Source organism: Homo sapiens, chromosome 16 (assembly GCF_000001405.40).
Source record: "Homo sapiens chromosome 16, GRCh38.p14 Primary Assembly".
In the NCBI taxonomy this organism is placed as follows: Eukaryota; Metazoa; Chordata; class Mammalia; order Primates; family Hominidae; genus Homo; species Homo sapiens.
In genome coordinates this window covers 73,804,721-73,826,019 of record NC_000016.10, presented here as the reverse complement: position 1 = coordinate 73,826,019, position 21,299 = coordinate 73,804,721, and the positions used below count along the sequence as shown (strand labels likewise).

General features: G+C 42.9%; 1 protein-coding gene and 1 long non-coding RNA gene across 2 annotated transcripts in view; one reads left to right on the top strand and one right to left on the bottom strand.

Moving 5' to 3' along the window:
• Positions 1-21,299, top strand: part of ZFHX3 (zinc finger homeobox 3) — a 1,109,046-nt gene that overhangs the window by 65,911 nt on the left and 1,021,836 nt on the right. The gene's annotated exons all lie outside the window — the stretch shown is intronic.
• Positions 10,009-10,374, bottom strand: LOC105371342 (uncharacterized). The gene is made up of 2 exons (XR_933731.2): positions 10,332-10,374; positions 10,009-10,143 (listed from the first exon to the last, which is right to left on the bottom strand). It is a non-coding gene; the product is annotated as an uncharacterized LOC105371342 (long non-coding RNA).

Genomic DNA, 21,299 nt, shown 5'->3' with positions numbered 1-21,299 from the left:
AATCAATATCGTGAAAATGGCCATACTGCCCAAGGTAATTTACAGATTCAATGCCATCCCCATCAAGCTACCAATGACTTTCTTCACAGAATTGGAAAAAACTACTTTAAAGTTCATATGGAACCAAAAAAGAGCCCGCATCGCCCAGTCAATCCTAAGCCAAAAGAACAAAGCTGGAGGCATCACACTACCTGACTTCAAACTATACTACAAGGCTACAGTAACCAAAACAGCATGGTACTGGTACCAAAACAGAGATATAGATCAATGGAACAGAACAGAGCCCTCAGAAATAATGCCGCATATCTACAACTATCTGATCTTTGACAAACCTGAGAAAAACAAGCAATGGGGAAAGGATTCCCTATTTAATAAATGGTGCTGGGAAAACTGGCTAGCCATATGTAGAAAGCTGAAACTGGATCCCTTCCTTACACCTTATACAAAAATCAATTCAAGATGGATTAAAGATTTAAACGTTAGACCTAAAACCATAAAAACCCTAGAAGAAAACCAGGCATTACCATTCAGGACATAGGCGTGGGCAAGGACTTCATGTCCAAAACACCAAAAGCAATGGCAACAAAAGCCAAAATTGACAAATGGGATCTAATTAAACTAAAGAGCTTCTGCACAGCAAAAGAAACTACCATCAGAGTGAACAGGCAACCTACAGCATGGGAGAAAATTTTCGCAACCTACTCATCTGACAAAGGGCTAATATCCAGAATCTACAATGAACTCAAACAAATTTACAAGAAAAAAACAAACAACCCCATCAAAAAGTGGGCGAAGGACATGAACAGACACTTCTCAAAAGAAGACATTTATGCAGCCAAAAAACACATGAAAAAATGCTCATCATCACTGGCCATCAGAGAAATGCAAATCAAAACCACTATGAGATATCATCTCACACCAGTTAGAATGGCAATCATTAAAAAGTCAGGAAACAACAGGTGCTGGAGAGGATGTGGAGAAATAGGAACACTTTTACACTGTTGGTGGGACTGTCAACTAGTTCAACCATTGTGGAAGTCAGTGTGGCGATTCCTCAGGGATCTAGAACTAGAAATACCATTTGACCCAGCCATCCCATTACTGGGTATATACCCAAAGGACTATAAATCATGCTGCTATAAAGACACATGCACACGTATGTTTATTGCGGCATTATTCACAATAGCAAAGACTTGGAACCAACCCAAATGTCCAACAATGATAGACTGGATTAAGAAAATGTGGCACATATACACTATGGAATACTATGCAGCCATAAAAAATGATGAGTTCATGTCCTTTGTAGGGACATGGATGAAATTGGAAACCATCATTCTCAGTAAACTATCGCAAGAACAAAAAACCAAACACCGCATATTCTCACGCATAGGTGGGAATTGAACAATGAGATCACATGGACACAGGAAGGGGAATATCACACTCTGGGGACTGTGGTGGGGTCGGGGGAGGGGGGAGGGATAGCATTGGGAGATATACCTAATGCTAGATGACACGTTAGTGGGTGCAGCGCACCAGCATGGCACATGTATACATATGTAACTAACCTGCACAATGTGCACATGTACCCTAAAACTTAAAGTATAATAAAAAAAAAAAAACATTAAAAAAAAAAAAAAAGAAATTATTTGGAAAGAAAACACATTTCTGACATTGTTTTGGAGATTATTAAGAAAAGGGCATTTGCTTTATAAAAAGTTCAGACCAGTGTTTCTCACGCTATGCTTCAAGCAACTCTGTCCTGATAAGATGACTTTGGAAAAGAAGGAGTCTGTGATCAAATAAATTTGAGACACGCAACATAACTTTTTCTCCTGGAGATTTCCAAAGCACAGTAGGATATTAAAGGCTCTGGTAAGTCCTGCAGTAGGGAAGCCGGTTCAACTTTGTTTATTTAGTGTTTTTCTAACTGATTTGAGCACATCGTTTTCGTTTATTTTCTGTGTCACACCCCTGTATAATTCCTTAAGGGAATCAACTTGAGATGTCAAGGTTCCATCAACTTTCCTGGAGTGTAGTTATTCCGTGAAGCAAAATATGCCCAAATGCACAAATCTGGCTTAGTGTGATTTCTGAGATGTCATTAAAAATGTTTATCATGCACCTTTTCCCTCCTATGACTCTTGCCATCAGAGCGTCCGCTGAAAGACATGCTCAAGTTTGTTTCTTGCAGGTGTGAGAGGCAGGAGGCGCTGGCATACTTTTTCTCTTGTCCCATTGATTTCAAATCCTGCTTATCCTTTTAGACTAGGAGTCAGCAAACTTTTGTGTAAAGGGCCAGATACTGAATATTTTCAGTTTTGCGGGTCTGATGGTCTCCGTAGCAACTCTCCATTCTGCCATTGTAGCGCCAAAGCAGCCCTAGACAATGCGTAAATGAATGGGCGTGGCTGTATTTCAGTACAGCTTTATTTACAAAAACAGGCAGTGGCACAATTTGGCCTGGGGGCCATAGTTGGTCAACCCCTATTCTAGATTCTGTTCAGAGTCGACCTCCTTCTTGCAGCCTTTCTTGGGGTTCCAGCCACTGTTCCTGCATTGGTTTGAACCTTTGTTTAGCACTTGCTTTATTCTGTCTGGCTGTGTTGCCTTTCATCTGTCATTGATGCTGTCTTGAGGGATGGATGGGCCCAGGGATTGCATTGTGTCTCTATCTTGTCTCTCTAATCAGGCTTTTCTTTTTTCCCTCCACTGTGGCCTCTCTGGCCATCTTTTAGTTCCTCTGCCTGCCATACTCCTTCCCCCTATTTCTCTCTGCCTAATTAACTCCTACTTTGGTGTAAGGTCTTAGCCTACTTAAGCTTTCCCTGACCTCATGGATTTGGTAAGATTTCCTCATTATAAATACTGAAAGCTTCATATACGTCGTAGACCTTGGCTCAAATACAGTTTCCTATTTGCTTTTATGATCAGATCATTAATGTCTGTCCCTTTCACTGGTCTCTAAGCTCCATAAGGGCAGGGATTCGGCTTCCACGTGCTTACTGTTACATCCTTAGCATATAGCCCAGTGCATGACGTATGGTAAGTTGCTCACTGAAAATTTGCTGAATGAATAAATGCATGAACTAAGGCTTGGATGATTGAACTCATTCACTCATTTACTTATCCCTGGCTCTGGGTTTTGTATAAGAGCTTGCACATGTAGCCTTAATAAGTTATTTAAGGAATACAAATTAATGACTTGTTGCTCTCAGTATCTAAAAGTGACATGACTTCCAGCTGGGGCTTCTTCTGGCATCTGTTAGAAATGTATGGATTATGCCTCATGCCACATCATTGTGTCACTTTCATCCAAACATTTGATTTCTTTTCAAATTGAACTCAGTTACAACTGCCAGGCACACACTTTACAGTAAATGATGAGAACGATTCCTTTCTACTGGGGAACCTTCAGTATCTATGCCGAGCAGAACTCATCTGGACATTAGCAACTAAGAGTAAAGCATTATAGTGTTCTTTAGGTTTAAATTTAAAAAAAAAAAGCAAAAGCAGCTTTTCAATGACAGTCAACCTGAGAAAAGCCACCAAGTGGAAAATTCTAAGTTAAGATGCAATTGTGTAACTAATTGTATTTTAGGACCTTTACAAAAGTCAGACCATGGTGAATTTGGGATGAATGGTGCCTTTTTCTTTGAAACTTAGGCTTCTTAGCTGGCAGGAACCTAATATGACTGAACTATCGTGCCTTTCCTGGGCATCTAGAGAAGAAAGCTTCAGCCTGGGATGATTTGGTGAATGGAGATCAGAGCCCCAATTCTGGGTTCTCATCCCAGGAAGAGAAAAGAGCTTCAAAGAGAAAACAGATGCCAGAAGGCCACACACAGGAAGGAAAAATCTCACCTGGGCTGGCATTGGATCCAGCTTGACGATTCTGGTGACTTTTTATTGTACTGGACACTGATGATGCCAGGGGAGATGTCTTTCTATGTGACTGAAGATTGCAGGAAGGGACAGGAATGGGGTCCTTTGGGAAGGCAGTGCCTCAACTGTGCTCAAAGGCAAATGTAGAGGGGGAGATGCCTTTGGAATGGGCTGCCAAGCATCAGAAATGATCAGACATGGAGTCTTTGGGTTGTGACCGTTCTAACATGCTGTTAGGCTATATGGGAATCTCAGGAGCATGTGAGTGGTGCCTTTACAAAGGTCAGCCCATGTAAGTGCATTTCACACTACAGCATCTTTGACTTCCCACTGAGCCCAGCACCCTGACGACCGTCTCCTTTCTATCATATGTCTGCTGTAGGCTGCAGGAGGGATGCATGTGTTCAGCATGGCTGCAAATTTCCAGGCAAATGTTTAGACACAGGCTAAGTGTAAACTTCACAATCTAGCTTCCTCATACCTCAGACTATTCAGGGCAGACACAGGTCCTAGGTAGGCTACCAGGTTCAAGTGCCTCTGTGTGCCAGCACCACGCTGTGCACTTTGATACATTATCTCAAGTTGTCATAACAGTCCTGAGGGGTAGGGGTAATTCCCAGTTTACAGCTGAGAACTCTGAGGCTTAGAGGGTTTGTGGTTTGCTTAAGGCCACCCAACAGGTCATAGGCATAGCTAAGTTGCAGAGATGCTGAGAAGGTTAAGGATCAGTTCTTTGAAAGACTGGGGTTTTCTGATTCCAGTGCCCCTTTAGAAATTCCATCAGAGATGGTACCTAATCCATATACCTCCTCAGTGTGCTGCCGACCACATTCCTCAAAGCAGGAGAGACCTCTGTGCTGGTCCATGGGGAAGAACAACAGCTGATTTTATGACTCTGGAAATCAGAGGTCACAGGACAGAGTTCTCTGATAGAATTCCCTGAGTATAACATTTTACAGATTTATCTCTGCTTCCATGTCTTCTGTCTTGGGGCTAAAACTGTCCACAGATTAGTGGTAAAATTAACGCTTTAGTGTCAGACTGTTTTTGAATCTGTGTTTCTCCACCCCCTGACTGTGTTGCCTTGGCAAGGAGACTCACGCTCTCTAGACCTCAGTCCCATCATTTGTCAAGGGGGATAATAATAGTTGTCTCCTAAGTTGACTGCAAGAATGACATGAGATAACAAATGGAAAGTATTGTGCATCTAGTAAATAGGGTGATGATGATGTCTGTTAATTCCCTTTGATCAATCTCAGTCTAAAGACAAATGTGTTCTACTACCAGGTTATTGAGATTTCCAGAGATTGAAGTCTCAATAACTTTGGTAGTAGAACACATTTGTCTTTAGCTTCATAGAAATATCAGTGTGGTTGGTGTTCCAGTTACATATTGCTGTATAACAAACTACCCAAGAGCTTGGTGGCTTAAAATAACTATTATTATATATCTCTCATGAGTCTGGAATTGATGGGGCTCAGCAGGGCGGTTCTTGCTTGGAGTCTCACAGGGGGTTACATTCAGATGTTGGCTGGAGCTGGACTCATGTGTGGGTTTGATTGGACTGGGTAACAGGGATAACTCACTCATAGGGCTGGCTGCAAACTCAATGTGCAGTTGACCAGAACCTATCATCCACATGGCCTCTCCCTGTAAACTGTGAATCTCATGGTATGGCAGCTGGGTTCTGAGAGGCAATGTTCCATGAGCAGACATTCCAAGAAAGAGGGAGCAGAAGCCACCAGCCAGTTAAGAGTTACTCCCAGGCCGGGTGTGGTGGCTCACATCTGTAATCCCAGCACTTTGGGAGGCTGAGGCAGGAGATCAAGACCATCCTGGCTAACACGGTGAAACCCTGTCTTTACTAAAAAACATAAAAAATTAGCCAAGTGTGGTGGTGGGCGCCTGTAGTCCCAGCTACTCGGGAGGCTGAGGCAGGAGAATGGCATGAACCCAGGAGGCAGAGCTTGCAGTGAGCTGAGATTGTGCCACTGCACTCCAGCCTGGGCGACAGAGCAAGACTCTGTCTCAAAAAAAAAGACTTACTCCCAGTACTGGCCCTGCGTCACTTCTGCCATGTTGCATTTGTCAGACATGGCCACCCAGATTCAAGGAGATGGAGAAAGAAACCTCACCTCCTTATGAAGGGCATGGCAAGGTCACATTGCAGAAGAGTTGGTGGGATGAGAGACATTGTCGTGACCATCTTTGGAAAATAAGATCTGCCACAGCCGGTATGCAGTAAGACTTCACACTTGGCCAGAGGGGCAGTGGCTTTTTTGGTTTAAATATGGGGAAGATCTTACTATTCAACTCTGGCATTAGTCCATTGGACTAAGTTATACTAGGTGACATTCTGAATGTGCTTTCTTCTTACCTATGAGCCCTCATCCCTGTGGAGCATGACCCACATCACTGGAACTGCTTTCCCCCATCCTACTCTTGCCTTATGGTGGCTAATTTTTCTCTTCCCTCTCCTGTTGACTTATACACAATAATTTTTAGTTCTCGGAAGTCTCTTCTTGATCCTTCCCTTCATAGTGGTTAAGATCAACAGGTACAGCCACATTGTTCAATATTAGACCACAAAGTGGCCCAAAGTTGTACATTTAGAATCCTAAGACTTAAAGTTTGTGGCCAAGGAAGATTTTCTGGTGGGAAAGGCCTGATACAAAATCTTTGAGTTATTTTGTCTAACCCAGTGGTTGTCAACAAAGGGAGATTTTAGTCCTAACAACAATTAGCAATGCCTGCTGTAACTTTTGACTCTCACATTGGGGTGGTGGTGATTGCTACCAGCATCTAGTAGGCAGAAACTAGAGATGATGCCAAATATCCTACAGTGTACAAGACCCCTTGCCCCACTCCTCAACAAAGAACTATCCAGCCCAAAGTGTCAGTAGTGCTGAGACTGAGAAATCTTGGTTCTGGCCTCAGCTATCGTTGCCATTGGGAGATACTTTCCCAGGCTACACTATTAAAAGGGAATCTCAGACATTGCTATGCCATTGGTAATTGACTGCATAGCAATTACTAGCTCCACGGTGTACCATTGACCTCAGTGCCCCACGTAAGGAGCACCCAGTTGCACAGGAGGCTTGAGGATGTGCTTGGACACAGAGATCAACTTCATTGTGCTTCCCAGACAAAAGTACCAATCTATGATTATTTCACTGAGTTCTCCTTGCATAGTTCAGATGCATTAATCATTGTCAGGAGTTTAAATCAGATTTTCTAAGTCATTGTTTGTGTGGTTGTCATTGTTTATCTCAATGAAACTGTAGGGCTCCCTGAACTTCTTTGACTAATCAGTCTCCAGCCCTCTGTTGCCTGTTAGGAGAAGGCCCAAACTGTGAGCAATTTAAGTTTGAAAACACATCCAAAGTGCAGTTTGAGAAAGCGCAGCAGAGCCAGGGACACTTTCCAGCACAATGCAGACTTTCATCTCCCTTACCTTGAAGGCATTTTTGTTAATTGTCCTTCATTGCATCAGCAGGGACCCCAGATAAATCCTTTAGAACCTGTGGTTGAATTGAGTGTGGGTGTCTGCTTATTTAATGCTTTGATACAAAGTTGAGCAGAGTGGCCAGGGGTCTGAAACCCCTGCTGACCCTTTCCTAGGTTTCAGCCTCACAGGAGCTTTGGTTGATATCATGTATAATGATGCTGCGTTGATGACAGGACCTCTCATATATGCCATTTGTACATCAAATTGCTTAGCGTGAAATCCATCCATCTCCATGGTATTGGGGTGGGGGCTGAGTTAATGTCAGCCAATCTGATGAAAATCACCTTGCCACAAACTTCCATACAAGCTGAAATCCTATTGCCAGGTTTTCCCTTTTTCCCCCCTTACAAGAGATATTAATTAACTACATTGCCTCAAAGTATTTGCTTTTGCGTGTGCAGTAGGATCTGTCATACTATAAACAGTTGCAAATGATAAAATAAATCAATATTTGTTAATGTTGTGATGCTTGCAGCATCCCCCAGATCTGCAAAGAATGATTTATATACTACAGCATTTCAAGCCTGACCCGTTTGGGTCTCAGAAAGCACTTAAAAAATAAATTTACCCTGGCCTCTCTCACCCCATTTCAAAATGGGTGACAAAGATGAAGTAATTTATAAGTCACACTTTTATTAATGCTTTTAACTTTCGTACACTTGGCTTTGTTGGCCTTCCCGTGGCATTAGTGCAGGCCGTGGTTGAATGGTAACCCTTGGCACTTTGAGGGGGGTTCGGTACAAATGATCAACTCATAAATAGGTGCTGGGCTCCACATTATCCTGCCATAAATTCACCAGACCTTTCAAGTACATCAAGTAAGAGCGAGGTGAACTAAGCATTTCTTTCGGCGTTTATAGACTAATGCAGTACTAATGAGTATCTGGGCAGAGGGTTCCCAGAACAATGTCCAGCACTCTGCAACAGGAATGCTGCTCGTCTCCAGGGAGGAGGAGAGCCTCATAACAGAGGAGTCATGGGCACCAGGCCTGTTTGTTTGCAAAGGAGCCAAGTAGATGTTCCTAAAGCTATTCGAACTGCTTTGCAGACCGAGCAGGTAAATGAGGAATTGACTTGAACTTCCCAATCTCTCTGTCAGAACCGCGATTTTAAGACTCGCCGTTAGGGTGTCTATAACATGAAAAGGAGAATAGGTAGAGGAACTCCCTGAAAGATGATAATAGCCAACTATGTACTTGAAGTCTTTGAAAAGGTTTGCAGGATTAGTGATGACAGGATATTGACCTGCCAGAGCAACTTTGAGAAGTAGCAAACTGCTGCTTTTCGCCCTCTCCAGAATATGGTGAATAAGTCAATGAATTACATTGATTAGAAGGTAGGGTGGGAAATAAGCCACTGAAATCACTGGCCCTGTTCCTTAGAATTACTTTGGACCTGAGTCATGGTATGAAACTTTCAGGCACACATTTCACTGTCAGCTCAAGAAATCGTATGCACTAATGCACGTGGCTGCATGTGAAGTGGTCAGCTGTGTGGTCACCCAGGGTGGAAGCCCTAAGCAAGCCCTAATTACTCCTTCTCCTTCCTCATCGCCATCCCAGTGATCACAAGTCACATAGCTCCACCTTTCCTACTGTCTCCCTTACTCATACCATTATGTCCAGTCCCATGGCTCCTGGGATGTGGGGACCTTCAATGTCTCATGCTAGGAAGCTCAAACTGTGCTAAAACTGCAACCTCATTGGATTTCTTTAAATCTTCTGTTTTGTCAACTCTCTCCTCAGAAACCCTCACTAATGGCCGACTGTCCACAGTCAAGTCCAGTTGTCTGGGTGTGAATGCCCACAACTCTCTGGCTTGTGCCTACTCTCAATCCAGTTCATCTTCGTTACTTCAAACCATCCAGTCTGGTCCTCTAGTGACCAGTTCTGAATCCATTCGATTGCCCAATCCTTTCTCTCTGTTTGGAAAGCTACTTTGCCTATTCAGTCCGTACCCCTGCCTGAGATTCAGCCCTCTCTCTTTTTCTCTCCCCCCCCATCTCTTTTAAAATCTTCTTTGTTCAGCCTTTTTTGGATCAAAAAGTTTTTTCTGTACAAGGCCAGATAGTAAATAGTTTTAGCTTTGTGGGCCATAAAGTCTTGTCATAACTGCTTATTTCTGCCATTGCAAAGTGAAAGCAGCCACAGATGATACATAAATGAATGAGTGGCTGTGTTCCAATAAAACTTTATTTATAAAGATAGGGGGTAGTCTGGACTTGGCTGGGGGGTCTAGTTTGCTGATCCATAACTTAGATACAAGTCATACTCACTTTCCTATGAACATACATGGCAAAGTTAACCCTTTCTCATTGACTTCCTTTTGGGAGCTTATACATTAAGATTATTTAATGTTTCATGACTCAGTCATCTTCACAACTAGATTTTAAATATCTCCTGCACAAATGAGTATGATCAGTCAGATACTTCAATGTAAAGTAACAGAGCTGAAAGATATTATCTAGCTCCACCAATGCACGTATGTATATATGTATGTATACATAACATAAATAGTGGGGTATTTTTGTGCTAGCTGGTTACTTAGATCCATATTCCAGGTCTCTCCTGTCCAATACAGTCTCTACCATTTTATTTTTATAAATGAAGACACAGCTATTGAGCCCACAAAGTAGTGAGGGTCACCCACTTTAGTTACTTGAAAAGTCGTAGCTTTCCCTAAGTCTCCTGATGATGTCATCTTCATCGTAGTGTCTTGGAAGAAATGCCACAGCCTTTATGAAGTTGGTTTCACTGGAGATTAGAAAATGGGTGCAGTGGCTCACACCTGTAATCCCAACACTTTGGGAGGCCGAGGTGGGCAGATTACCTGAGGTCAGGAGTTTGATACTAGCCTGGCCAACATGGTGAAAACCTGTCTCTAGTAAAAATACAAAAAAAATTAACCGGGCGTGGTGGCACATGCCTGTAGTCCCACTTACTCGAGAGGCTGAGGCAGGAGAATTGCTTGAACCCTGGAGATGGAGGTTGCAGTGAGCTGAGATCGTGCCATTACGCTCCAGCCTGGGTGGACAGAGTGACACTGTCTCCAAAAAGAAAAAAAAAAAAAGGAAAGACAGAAAATAGGTAAACAGTAGATGAGATTTCGGTTCATATCGGTTCTTCTGGATAAATTCTGCAGAACTGACATAATGTGCAATGTAGCTCGAATTAAGAGAAAGATTTCCCCTGTAGCTTGAATGTTGGAAGGTCACTTCTCATGGTCTCCTAGGGGCCATATCCTGCATGGGGTTTTCTGTTGCCAAGTTCAGGTTTACACTAAGTATAGATGTGGCTACAGGAGTCACGAACCTTGGTGAAAAACATTCAGGTATGCTTAGATCAGAAGGAACACCTACTCTGTTTGGAAGTGTGAGCTTTGAAAAGACACAGCCTGGTGATTTGTTTCACTGCAGAAATAAGTCAAACTGGATGAGATATTCTGAATAATAACAATAGATGCTATTATAATTGGCATCGTTCTCATTATTCTACTACTTGTTGAGTGCGTTCTGTAAGCTAGGCTTTGGGTTAAGTGCTTTGCACATGTTTACATCCGTAAGTTACACATTATCTAGCATTTCCCATTGTATTTGGAGAAATGTTTCCTAATATTTGTGATTATCACCCTACTTTTAAGTATGGTGATTAAAAAAATCTCTTGAGAGATTTTGGAGCAAGTTGACTTGATTGGAACATGATAAATCCTAGTGTTTCAGTATATGTGGGATGAGAGCTTTACTTTTAAGAAGTTGTGAAGTGGGCTGGGTGTGAAAGGCTCACTCCTGTAATCCCAGCACTTTGGGAGGCCGAGGTGGGCACATCACCTAAGGTCAGGAGTTTGAGACCAGCCTGGCCAACATGGTGAAACCCTGTCTTTACTAAAAATATAAAAATTAGCCAGGCATGGTGGTGGGTGCCCATAATCCCAGCTACTCAGGAGGCTGAGGCAGGAGAATCACTTGAACCCAGGAGGCAGAGGCTGAAGTGAGCTGAGATTGCGCCACTGCACTCCAGCCTGGGCAACAAGAGCGAAACTCCATCTCAAAAAAAAAAAAAAAAGTTGTGAACTATGTAAGTAAGATTGTGTTAAGCTTTCTTAAACAACTATCACGTATTTTAAAATTTGTATGTAAATGCATCTTTACCAAAAGTCTACCTGTGGAGCAAGTTTTAAAATTAAATTTTGAAGAAAGACCCACGATTACTTTTTCCTCTAAATTTAGAATGATCTCCACCATCTGAAAGCTGTGATTGGCTATAAGCCAAGCTAGAGGTCTTGTTTTGTTTTAATTTTTAAAACTCATTGCTATGTGCTAGGTTTTGGCTTTATGGCTTTACAGTAAGAAAGAGAATCTGTCTGGCTACCATTTATTGTCTCTCCATTTGGCAGTTGACAATGGTGGGGGTGGGAGAGGAAGTAACTCCTTACCAGCACTTTACCTGATTTCACTTAAAATATAAAAGCTAATGAAAAAAATGGAAGGTACAGATCCCATTCAGCATTCTTATCACACTGCTCTCTCTGCAATTATATACATTTTTAATTGCAGATATTACTTGCAAAGAGAAATAACTGGGCCAACAGATTCCTACATGATGATTAGGGAAGGCAAACTCACTTACAACTTAAGAGTGATACCCAATAACAGGAGATTGAAAGAAATGAATTGCTACAATGAGTTAAATTAAATTCAGCCCAACTAATAGTAGATTAAGCAAATATTACAAATTAAAACCAAAGCTCCAGACAAACAAGGGAACAAATCTTGCCTGCAGCTGAGCTGCCAAGGGACCCATCTGATAGCCATGATCTGTGTCTCCGCTCCGGGAAGGAGTTCTTGAGTATCGGAGGACCTACTGGGTCTGAGGTACAGGAAGAGGAGGGAGGTTATGCTAATGACCATTGGCACGGCTAGCAAGGCAGATTTCCGGCTTGGTGCAAGAGCTACGGCTGTCTGATGAGTGCTGTGGGATGGACTGCAGAGGAGTGTCTGCTTCAGAGAGCTTGTGTTTGGTAAAATCCTACTACGAGTGGGAAAATGTCTCTAGGTTTAATGAAGGAAGGGGTATGCAATGCCCACTGTTTTTCAGACTGCATGAGTCACATTTTTTTTCCTTTTTTTTTGTTTTACTGAAATGGACTTACAGAAAAGTACACAAATGATAAGTATGCAGTTCAACTGATTTTCACCTATGCAGCCAATTCCCTGATCAAGAGACAAAACATGCCCAGAGTTGAGAGAGGCCCCCAGTCCTGGCCGCTGTCCTCTATGGGGAACTAGTATGCTGTTCAGACATTGCAATTCACCCAGTTGAGAATCCTGGCTCGCTTATTAGTGCATTTTGTCTCTTGTCCAAACATTAACTTAACAGAGAGAGAGAGAGAGAGAGAGAGAGAAAGAGAAAGAGGTAGGGATGATACAGTTGGCAGGGGATGAGGAGAGAGAAGACAGAGAGACAGCGAGGGATCAGTTAGCTCTGAGAAAGGTGTTACTTATTCCTAGTGTGGTAGCTGAATATTTGCAGAACCAGAAGGAAAGACTGGATAAATCTTGTTTAGTTTTCCAGCTCTATTTAAAGTAGATTCATTGGAGTCCCAAAGCTGAGTTTTCACAGTAGGAGTAATATCTACCACTTAGTGCAGATAATGCCTTGTAGATATTAGCTAATTATTTCATGTGGTGCCCTAGTGAGAAGTAGGTAAGTATTATCATATCTGCTTTATAAATTGAGTTAACAGGCATAAGGAGATTAAGGCTGCTCCCATATTGGGAGTTTGCCCAAAGAGTTGCTGCCTTATCTGTCACCTTTGTGCCCAGTGGATCTTTAAGCTGCCTGGCAGTCTTCGTGTGTTCATCTGTTCTTTCACTCACTCATTTATCAAACATCTATTGAGCTGTTTTTCTGGTAGTATGCTAGGCTGCTATGCTAGGAGGATACTGAGATGAATAAGGTATAGTCTATAATAGAAAAGGGCTAGCTCTTACAGGGTTAAACCTTCAATTCCATCAGAGGGGCAGGCAGCTAGTATCAGTCTGTGACCTGGTAGGGATGAGGCAATAGGGAGTGGTGGGGACTGTGGCAGACTGGAGGTCCCTGCCCCATCTCTTTATTATGACATAATAACTGCCCAAACAAACGTGTCTATGATCAGGGGTCAACGAATGCAGTCAGTTTGCAAGACTTTCTGGAGGAGAAAGAACACCATTTCTATAGTGCATTGTGGTAAATATAGGAGGACAAGCAGTGTAATGGGAGAAAGGAAAGAAAAGAAATTTATTATGCCAGGAGGACAGAGGAAGGATATCAGGAGCAGAGAGAACACCCAAAGCGGAAGTGAGAGTGTTTCCAGGACAGATTTTCAGCCATGGGAGCTTAGTGTTTGAAGCTGGATGGATGCCCAGCCCATGCTTGCATCCTTTCAGTGATGGGAAATTCGTACCTAGAGAATACAGCCCTTTGGACATGTCTCCACTGCCCTGGTTGGTGAATGAGTGGGCAACAGTGTGGTGGTAAAGACCACCATAAGCCTCAGAATCAGCCTGTTTGGGTTTGAATTCTAGACCCTACTATTCATTAGCCATATAACCTTGGGGGTAGGTTATTTAATCTCTTCGTGCCTCTGTTTTCTTATCCACAAATGGTGATAGTAAGAGAATTGTTGCAAAGATAAAATGAAGATAAAAAGTTCAGCACAGTCTCCACACACAGAAACATTCAACTAGAGTTGTGTTCTGAGATGGTCAGAGCCAAGTGAGGCCTGGGAATTGGACATGTCTCCCAAGTGGTGGCAAACCACTGAACCACCAAAAGATAGCATCACAACAGAGAGAACAAAGTCATTATGAGATAGGTAGTCTCCTGCCTATTAGAAAGGGAAGGGGCCCGGGCGCGGTGGCTCATGCCTATAATCCCAGCACTTTGGGAGGCAGAGGTGGGCAGATCATGAGGTGAGGAGTTCGAGACCAGCCTGGCCAACATGGTGAAACCCCATCTCTATTAAAAATACAAAAATTAGCCAGGCGTGTTGGCGCGCGTGCCTGTAGTCCCAGCTACTCCAGAGGCTGAGGCAGGAGAATCGCTTGAACCTGGGAGGCAGAGGTTACAGTGAGCTGAGATCACGCCACTGCCACTCCCGCCTAGATGACAGAGCAAGACTCCGTCTCAAAAAAAAAAAAAAAAAAAAAAAGAAGAGACTGAAGGGATTGAAGATCAACTTTGCTTTCATGGGTATTAGCCATTCACTATGGCACTGATGTGCCCTGGGAAATTGAGGCTGTACCTATCACTTTTAGAGTTTTAGATCACCCAGAAAGAAGGACTAGTGGGGCTTTGCCGAAGGTAGATACAGATGTCTGAAATGGAGGGCTCTAATTCAGGTAAGAGCTAGCTGTGGTCTCAAAAACTAAGCCTAAAGCAAATTCTAGCTTGGTTTTCATCACAACAGAGATACAAAAATATTAACAAAATGTTAGTAGAGGGTAGGAGTTCTGGTACTGTCACACCATAATGTGACGATGCACTGAGCTTTGGATCATGAAATTTTTTTTTTCTATTTGATATCTTTGTATTTTTAAAGTTCCTTAGTGTGCCACACTGATTGTTTTTAATCTCAGGCCTCCTGTGTAGTTCATATAATCCTTTTCTTTTTGCTTGGAGGCAAGAGGCCCAGAGAAAGGAAGAATTTAGTATTATAGCAATATAGTAAATTTTTATTTATTTATTATAGGTATATTATAAAATTAGTAGAATTTTAGGGCTTTGGAAGACCATGGAGATGATCAGCTAGTTAACTAACCCCTTTTACAGATAGACAAGCTCAGAATGGTGAGTGATGTACTCAAGACCATACAGCTATTTAGTAACAGAGTCTAGACTTGAATTCAGTTCTAAGATTTCCCTGATAGTTCAAGCTCTTCCATTTTTTTTTGTTGTTGAATGACCTTGGCTAAGTCTTTTAATCTCTTTGAGCTTCTATTTCTTCTTTTGCAACAGGAATAATAAATGCCATAATTTATAGGGTTGCATTAAGGCTCAAATAAGATAATGAATGTGTGAAAGCGCTTTACAAACTCTCTATAAAGTGCTGTAAAAACATTAGATATTGCTATTGTCTGAAGTAATTTGGCAAGATGGTGAGAACTTGACAAATGCAACTCAAATAAAATAAATCATTAGATTTAAGAACCCTTAGAGGTTATCTAGGTTAATAACCAAATAATTAAAGACTTATCTTTTTAAAGAACCTTTATTTGTAAACTTTCTATGCAAATAGGAAAATTTTGATCTTCCCTGAAAGAGAATGTTTCATCAGGGGCCCAAATACTCCCAAGATTAATCCACAATCCAATTTATTAAAAATGGCAAGAGACTATTTGATTGAGAGCTACAGCTTCAGTTTTGCAGGGCTAGGCTTGAGTTATAGGATTTAACTTTCTTTTCAGGGTTAACAGGGTCAGTGGAAGTGGAGGTGGCGGGGTGGCTGTGCCCAGATTTAGGGCAACCTGGAAAATAAATACTGAATATTAAGCCTCATATATAGACTCTAACAGGCAGGACTTCATCCTAAGGCCAAAATACATGTGACCAACGTTCACATTCTAGATTTGCCTCTTTGGTGCAAAGGCTGAGGAGTTAGACACCGCAATGTGTGGAGTGCAAGAAAATGCTTTTATTCCCTTGAACTGCTACCAAGCAAAGCAATACAATGTCAGCATAGGTAAGTGGCCACAGGGAAGGCTGGGTGGGGATGACATTTTTACCAGGCAAAGTAGACTTTTGATGGTCTCATGATTTCTGAAAACTATAGGCAAGACTAGGTTAGGTAATGGAGTTTTTTGTTTTGTTTTGTTTTTTGTTTTGTTTTTAATGAGTAGAGCCTAAACAGAAACTGCCTTAAAAATCCCCTCCGTTTATTCCATGCATGTTCAGCAGCCCAGATCTGGAGACTGATGAGGGTGAGTTGCATGAGAGAGATGAAACTGTATTGAGACCCTTCCACCCTCTTCAGGATCCTGTATTCCACCGACTCCCCCAGTCAATGCACTTTCACTGTTAATAATTTAAATGATGAAGTAGGCTCGGTGAGAAGCAGCACCGTGAAACAGACAGGAGCTCATAAATCCGTGACAGCTCCAGCTTGGGTTTTGGAGCACCTGTGTGGATGATGCCACCTGCTCTAACCTAGGTGAGGAGGCGTGGACTCCTTTGAATGAAGCGGCAGGTCAGGCCATCTTTTCCCTACCGAGGAAGGGGCAGGCTTCCACACAGTGGCACCTCCCTGGGTCAGGTGCATTTTCATTGCCGTTTCAGGGAGGTTACAGTGTCACCGTATGCTGCATTTGCCCGGTGCAGCTGACTTGCATTACAGCTTTGATGATGCTTGTCACTGAAAAGAGGTTTCAGCCTCAGGAATAGTCTTAAAGCGGGCTTTTAATTCCTCCCAGGAACTCTACCTGCACCTTGGGATTGTGGCAGGGTCACCTCCATTCCGACAGCAAAGGAGAGCAGGAATCTGCCGTTTGGTACCTCCTCCCATCTTCCCATCAACCCCTGCTTTTAGGAAACATTGCACTTATTGCTTATTACAAATGCATTACAGAAACAAACCCAAGCCAAGCAACACAGATGACAGGATAAAATCTATCCGGCACTGGGTCAGTAATCAACTGTTATCAATGCTGCTTCTCTACATAGTAGTTTGCTGTGACTCTTAAACTTCTGGATGTCCTCAGGACTGGCTTCCTTTTTCCAGCAGTTTCTATCCTAAGGCTGCTCAGAATGCTAGGTTACTGTCCTTGTAGGTTATATACTCTGCATACTATATGCTCCCTTTCCACTCTTAATTCTTTCTCTTCTAAGTTGTTCCTCTAGCTCTGGAAACTCAAGCCTCTGCCTCTTTCCCCTCCCCTCTAAACTAATATGCTTAAATGGTTGTACATCACATAATCAAGGGTGTCTGCTTCAAGCTTTTAAATCTCTTACCCAGGCTCATCCCATTATGTATGCCACCTTCAGATTCATTCAGCTTATTTCCATTCAACTGACACTTATCGAAAGCTGACTAGCGTGCCATTGTCCACACACTGGACAGTGTGCCTGGGTATCTATTTCTTGCCTTACCTTGTATTCATGTATCCAACCATCTTCTGTATACCTGAAACAAAAAGTAGAAGGACTCCTCACTCACAGAAGCTTACAGGCTGGCTTTCTAACACATCAATCTCTTCTTTTTGTCTGATATTTGAAACTATTCAACATGGATAGCAATACTTACCACAGTAGCAAGAAAACAAGAATTTCAACTACTATCACTTTCTCTACCAAAATGAAATTCAACAGTCCTCCCTACAACATTTATTTCTCAATTATTCTCACAAAGAAGTTGTTTTATTTTGAAAATGAGCATGTGCTCATGATCTACATCGATGGTTTTAACCTTTTTCTTCCCTTTTTCTTCCCAAGTCTTCATCATGGAGTGTTCCCAGGAGGGAAACTGGTCTCTCTTCAGTGCCCACATCTTCCTGCCCATGCCCCACCCTTAATAGAAAGTTTAATATTGAGAGTTAGGGTTTCTGAGTGTAAGCCCTCTAGCATGGACATTATACCCTCGTTTTGAACCCTGAATCTTCCATTTGTAGGTATGCGATTTGAAGCAAGTGATACTTGAATGTAAAAGAGTGGTAATAATGGTACCAAGTTCATGAGGATTTCTAGGAAGATTCAATGGATACACGTAACCTAGCACAGGGCCTGGTACGATGCCCGTCCAAAATGTATGTTGGAAAAAAAAGACATTAGAGTCCCGCGTGAATGGGTGGGTAGGTGGGATGTCTTTTCTTAGAAAACTGATACTTTGGCTGGGTGCAGTGGCTTACGTCTGTAATTCCAACATTTTGGGAGGCTGATGTGGGTGGATTGCTTGAGCTCAGGAGTTCAAGACCAGCCTGGGCAACATGGAGAAGCCCTGCCTCTACCAAAAAAAAAAAAAAAAAAAAAAAAAAAAAATTGGGGCATGGTGGAATGTGCCTGTAGGCCCAGCTATTTGGGGGCTGCTGTGGCAGGAGGATTGCTTGAGCCCAGGAGATGGAGGCTGCAGTGAGCTATGATTGTGCTACTGCACCCCAGCCTGGGAGACACAGCAAGACCATGGATCATTTTTAGCAGCTTTTAACAGATGATGTTGGTGCAATTAGCTTGATGGTTATAGATATTTCTAAAACATATCTCTGGCATTTTCCTAAATTTGGCTATCAGTGGATTTGAATGCTCTTGGGCTGAAAAAAAAGGAAGAAAGCAAGGAAGAAAGGAGGGAAGAAGGGAGGGAGAATCAGTCAAAAGGTACTGGTAGTCAGATGGCCTTGTGTCACACGTGGGCAGAACAGGCTTGTATAGTAATGAAAAATGATGTATTCACACAACTCAACTTCTGGGGTAACTTCTATGATAATAGAGGCATCCACAGCTGAAATGCCAGCGGTCCCTGCTGCCTCTTCTCGGGTGCTCCAGCTGGATGTGGCCACTCCCTTTCTCTGAATTCACAGTGCTTCTTTGTACCCACTAAAACATTTCCATGACAGCTATTTTTAGTTATGGTTTTTCTCATGTTGCACCTGCTTCTAGACCAGAAGCTCAGTAACATTTCCTCCATCCTCCTCACCTCATCACGTGGTTGGTGGAATTGGATGGAACGCTCGCATTCCCTTGAGTTAGCCTCAGATCTGCTGATGGGATGATGGATTCCGTCTAGTTCACAGCCAATAACCACTTCCCCCAAAAGGGTCAGGGCAGTGCCAAAGCTGGAGAGGGCTTGGGGAGATGGAGAGGGCTCCCCTTGGTCTCATTTTCCAAAAGTGGCATGCTTCACCGATTTTTAAAAAGTGTAACATTTTGCATAAAGGCTGTTAAATGATGATTTTAAAAAAGGGCAAGCAATGAGGAAGCAAAGGACAAAGTGTCAGTGGGGAGGCCTTGAGACCTTAGCATGGGATGGCACATTGGGGCTCATTTGATTTACTTGACCCCCCCCACCAACCAGTGTTATTGGCTGACAACTAATCCCCATCCCCACCCTGCCCCTAAGCTTGCCCTTCTTGGGAACACCTGACTGTGTATCTGTACAAGGACTGACCCACTTTCCCCATATTGCCCCAAAGGCCAACACTGTATTCAGCGGAGCTAAAGCCGTGACCTCAGAGCCTTGCACATCTCACTCCGGCTCCATCTCTGATCTCTTGTTCTCTCACTGTGCTGTGGTCACACCGGCTTCCCTGCTGCTCCTCAATTGTGCCAGTCATGTTCCTATCTCTAGGCCTTTGCACTTGCTCTTGCCTCTGCCTGGAATTTTCTACTCCAGATGTGCTCTGGTATGGTTTGGCTCTGTGTCCCCACCCAAATCTCACCTTGAATTGTAATAATCCCCACGTGTCAAGGGCGGGACCAGATGGAGATAATTGAATCACTGGGGCAATTTCTGCCCTGCTGTCCTTGTGATAGTGAGTTCTTACAAGAGCTGATGGTTTTATAGGGGGCTTCCCCCTTTGCTCGTCACCCATTCTGTCTCCTGCCACCCTGTGAAGAGATGCCTTTCGCCATGATTGTAAGTTTCCTGAGGCTTGCTGAGCCATATGGAACTGTGAGTCAATTAAATCTCTTTTCTTTACAAATTACCCAGTCGCAGTTGTCTTTATTAGCAGCCTGAGAATGGAATAATACATGTTCCCTCATTTCACTGAAGTTTCTGAGCAAGTCACCTTCTCAGAGAGGCCTTCTATGACCACCTGAGCCGAAGAAGTACCCCCATCACCCTCTGTCTCTTTACTCTGCTATCCTTTTATTCACATGCCACCCAGCATTATATTATACGTGCATCTTTTTGTGGCCTCCTGACTAGAATACAAGCTCTAGAAGGGCAGGGATTTTAACTGTTTTGTCCATTGCTATGTCTCATTGCTAGGGCAGTGCCCTGTACATCATTGGTGCTTAACATGTTTGTTTCATCAATAAATGAATAAGTGATTTCCACCCATCCACTCCTTCATCTATTCCATGAACAGTGACTGAGCATCTACAATGTGCAAAGATGAAAACTTCACAGTCCTTACCTTCTAGAAGGTGGCAGTCTTGATGGAAAGATAGATGTGTGAAAATATACCAGAATGGCCAGCCACGGTAGCTCACACCTATAATCCCAGCACTTTGGGAGGCAGAGGCAGGCGGATCACCTGCAGTCAGGAGTTCAAGACCATCCTGGCCAACATGGTGAAACCCCATCTCTACTAAAAATACAAAAATTAGCCAGGCGTAGTGGCAGGTGCCTGTAATCCCAGCTACTTAGGAGGCTGAGGCAGGAGAATCGCTTGAACCTGGGAGGCGGAGGTTACAGTGAGCAGAGGTTGTGCCATTGCACTCCAGCCTGGGCAACAAGAATGAGACTCCATCTCAAAAAATAAAATATAATAAAAATAAAAATATAACGAATATATAAAGAGGTACTTATGAAAAAGTTTTGCAGGTGGAATGACAGAGCTATAGTTAGGGTATTTTCTCTGATTGTGTCAGAGGTGCAGCAGGAAATACATGAACACTAAGTATACTCGCTTAAGAATTGAAGCCATAAATAGTCATATAATAAATATATGAGTCTCTCTCTCTCTCCCTCCCTCCCTCTCTCCCTCCCTTCCTCTCCCTCTCTCCCTCCCTCCCTCTCCCTCCCCTCCCTCCCTCCCTCCCTCTTTGGTGTGGGTGTGTGTGTGTGGTGTGTTAAGTGTGTATGTAGTATGTGTATAGTGTTTTGGCCATAGAAGATTTCATAGAGTTTAGAGAAAACTATAATGACTTTGCAGTGATGTTAGAATATGTCAGAAAGGTGAAGTATTCACAGTTTTCACCCCAAATGAAATAGAAGC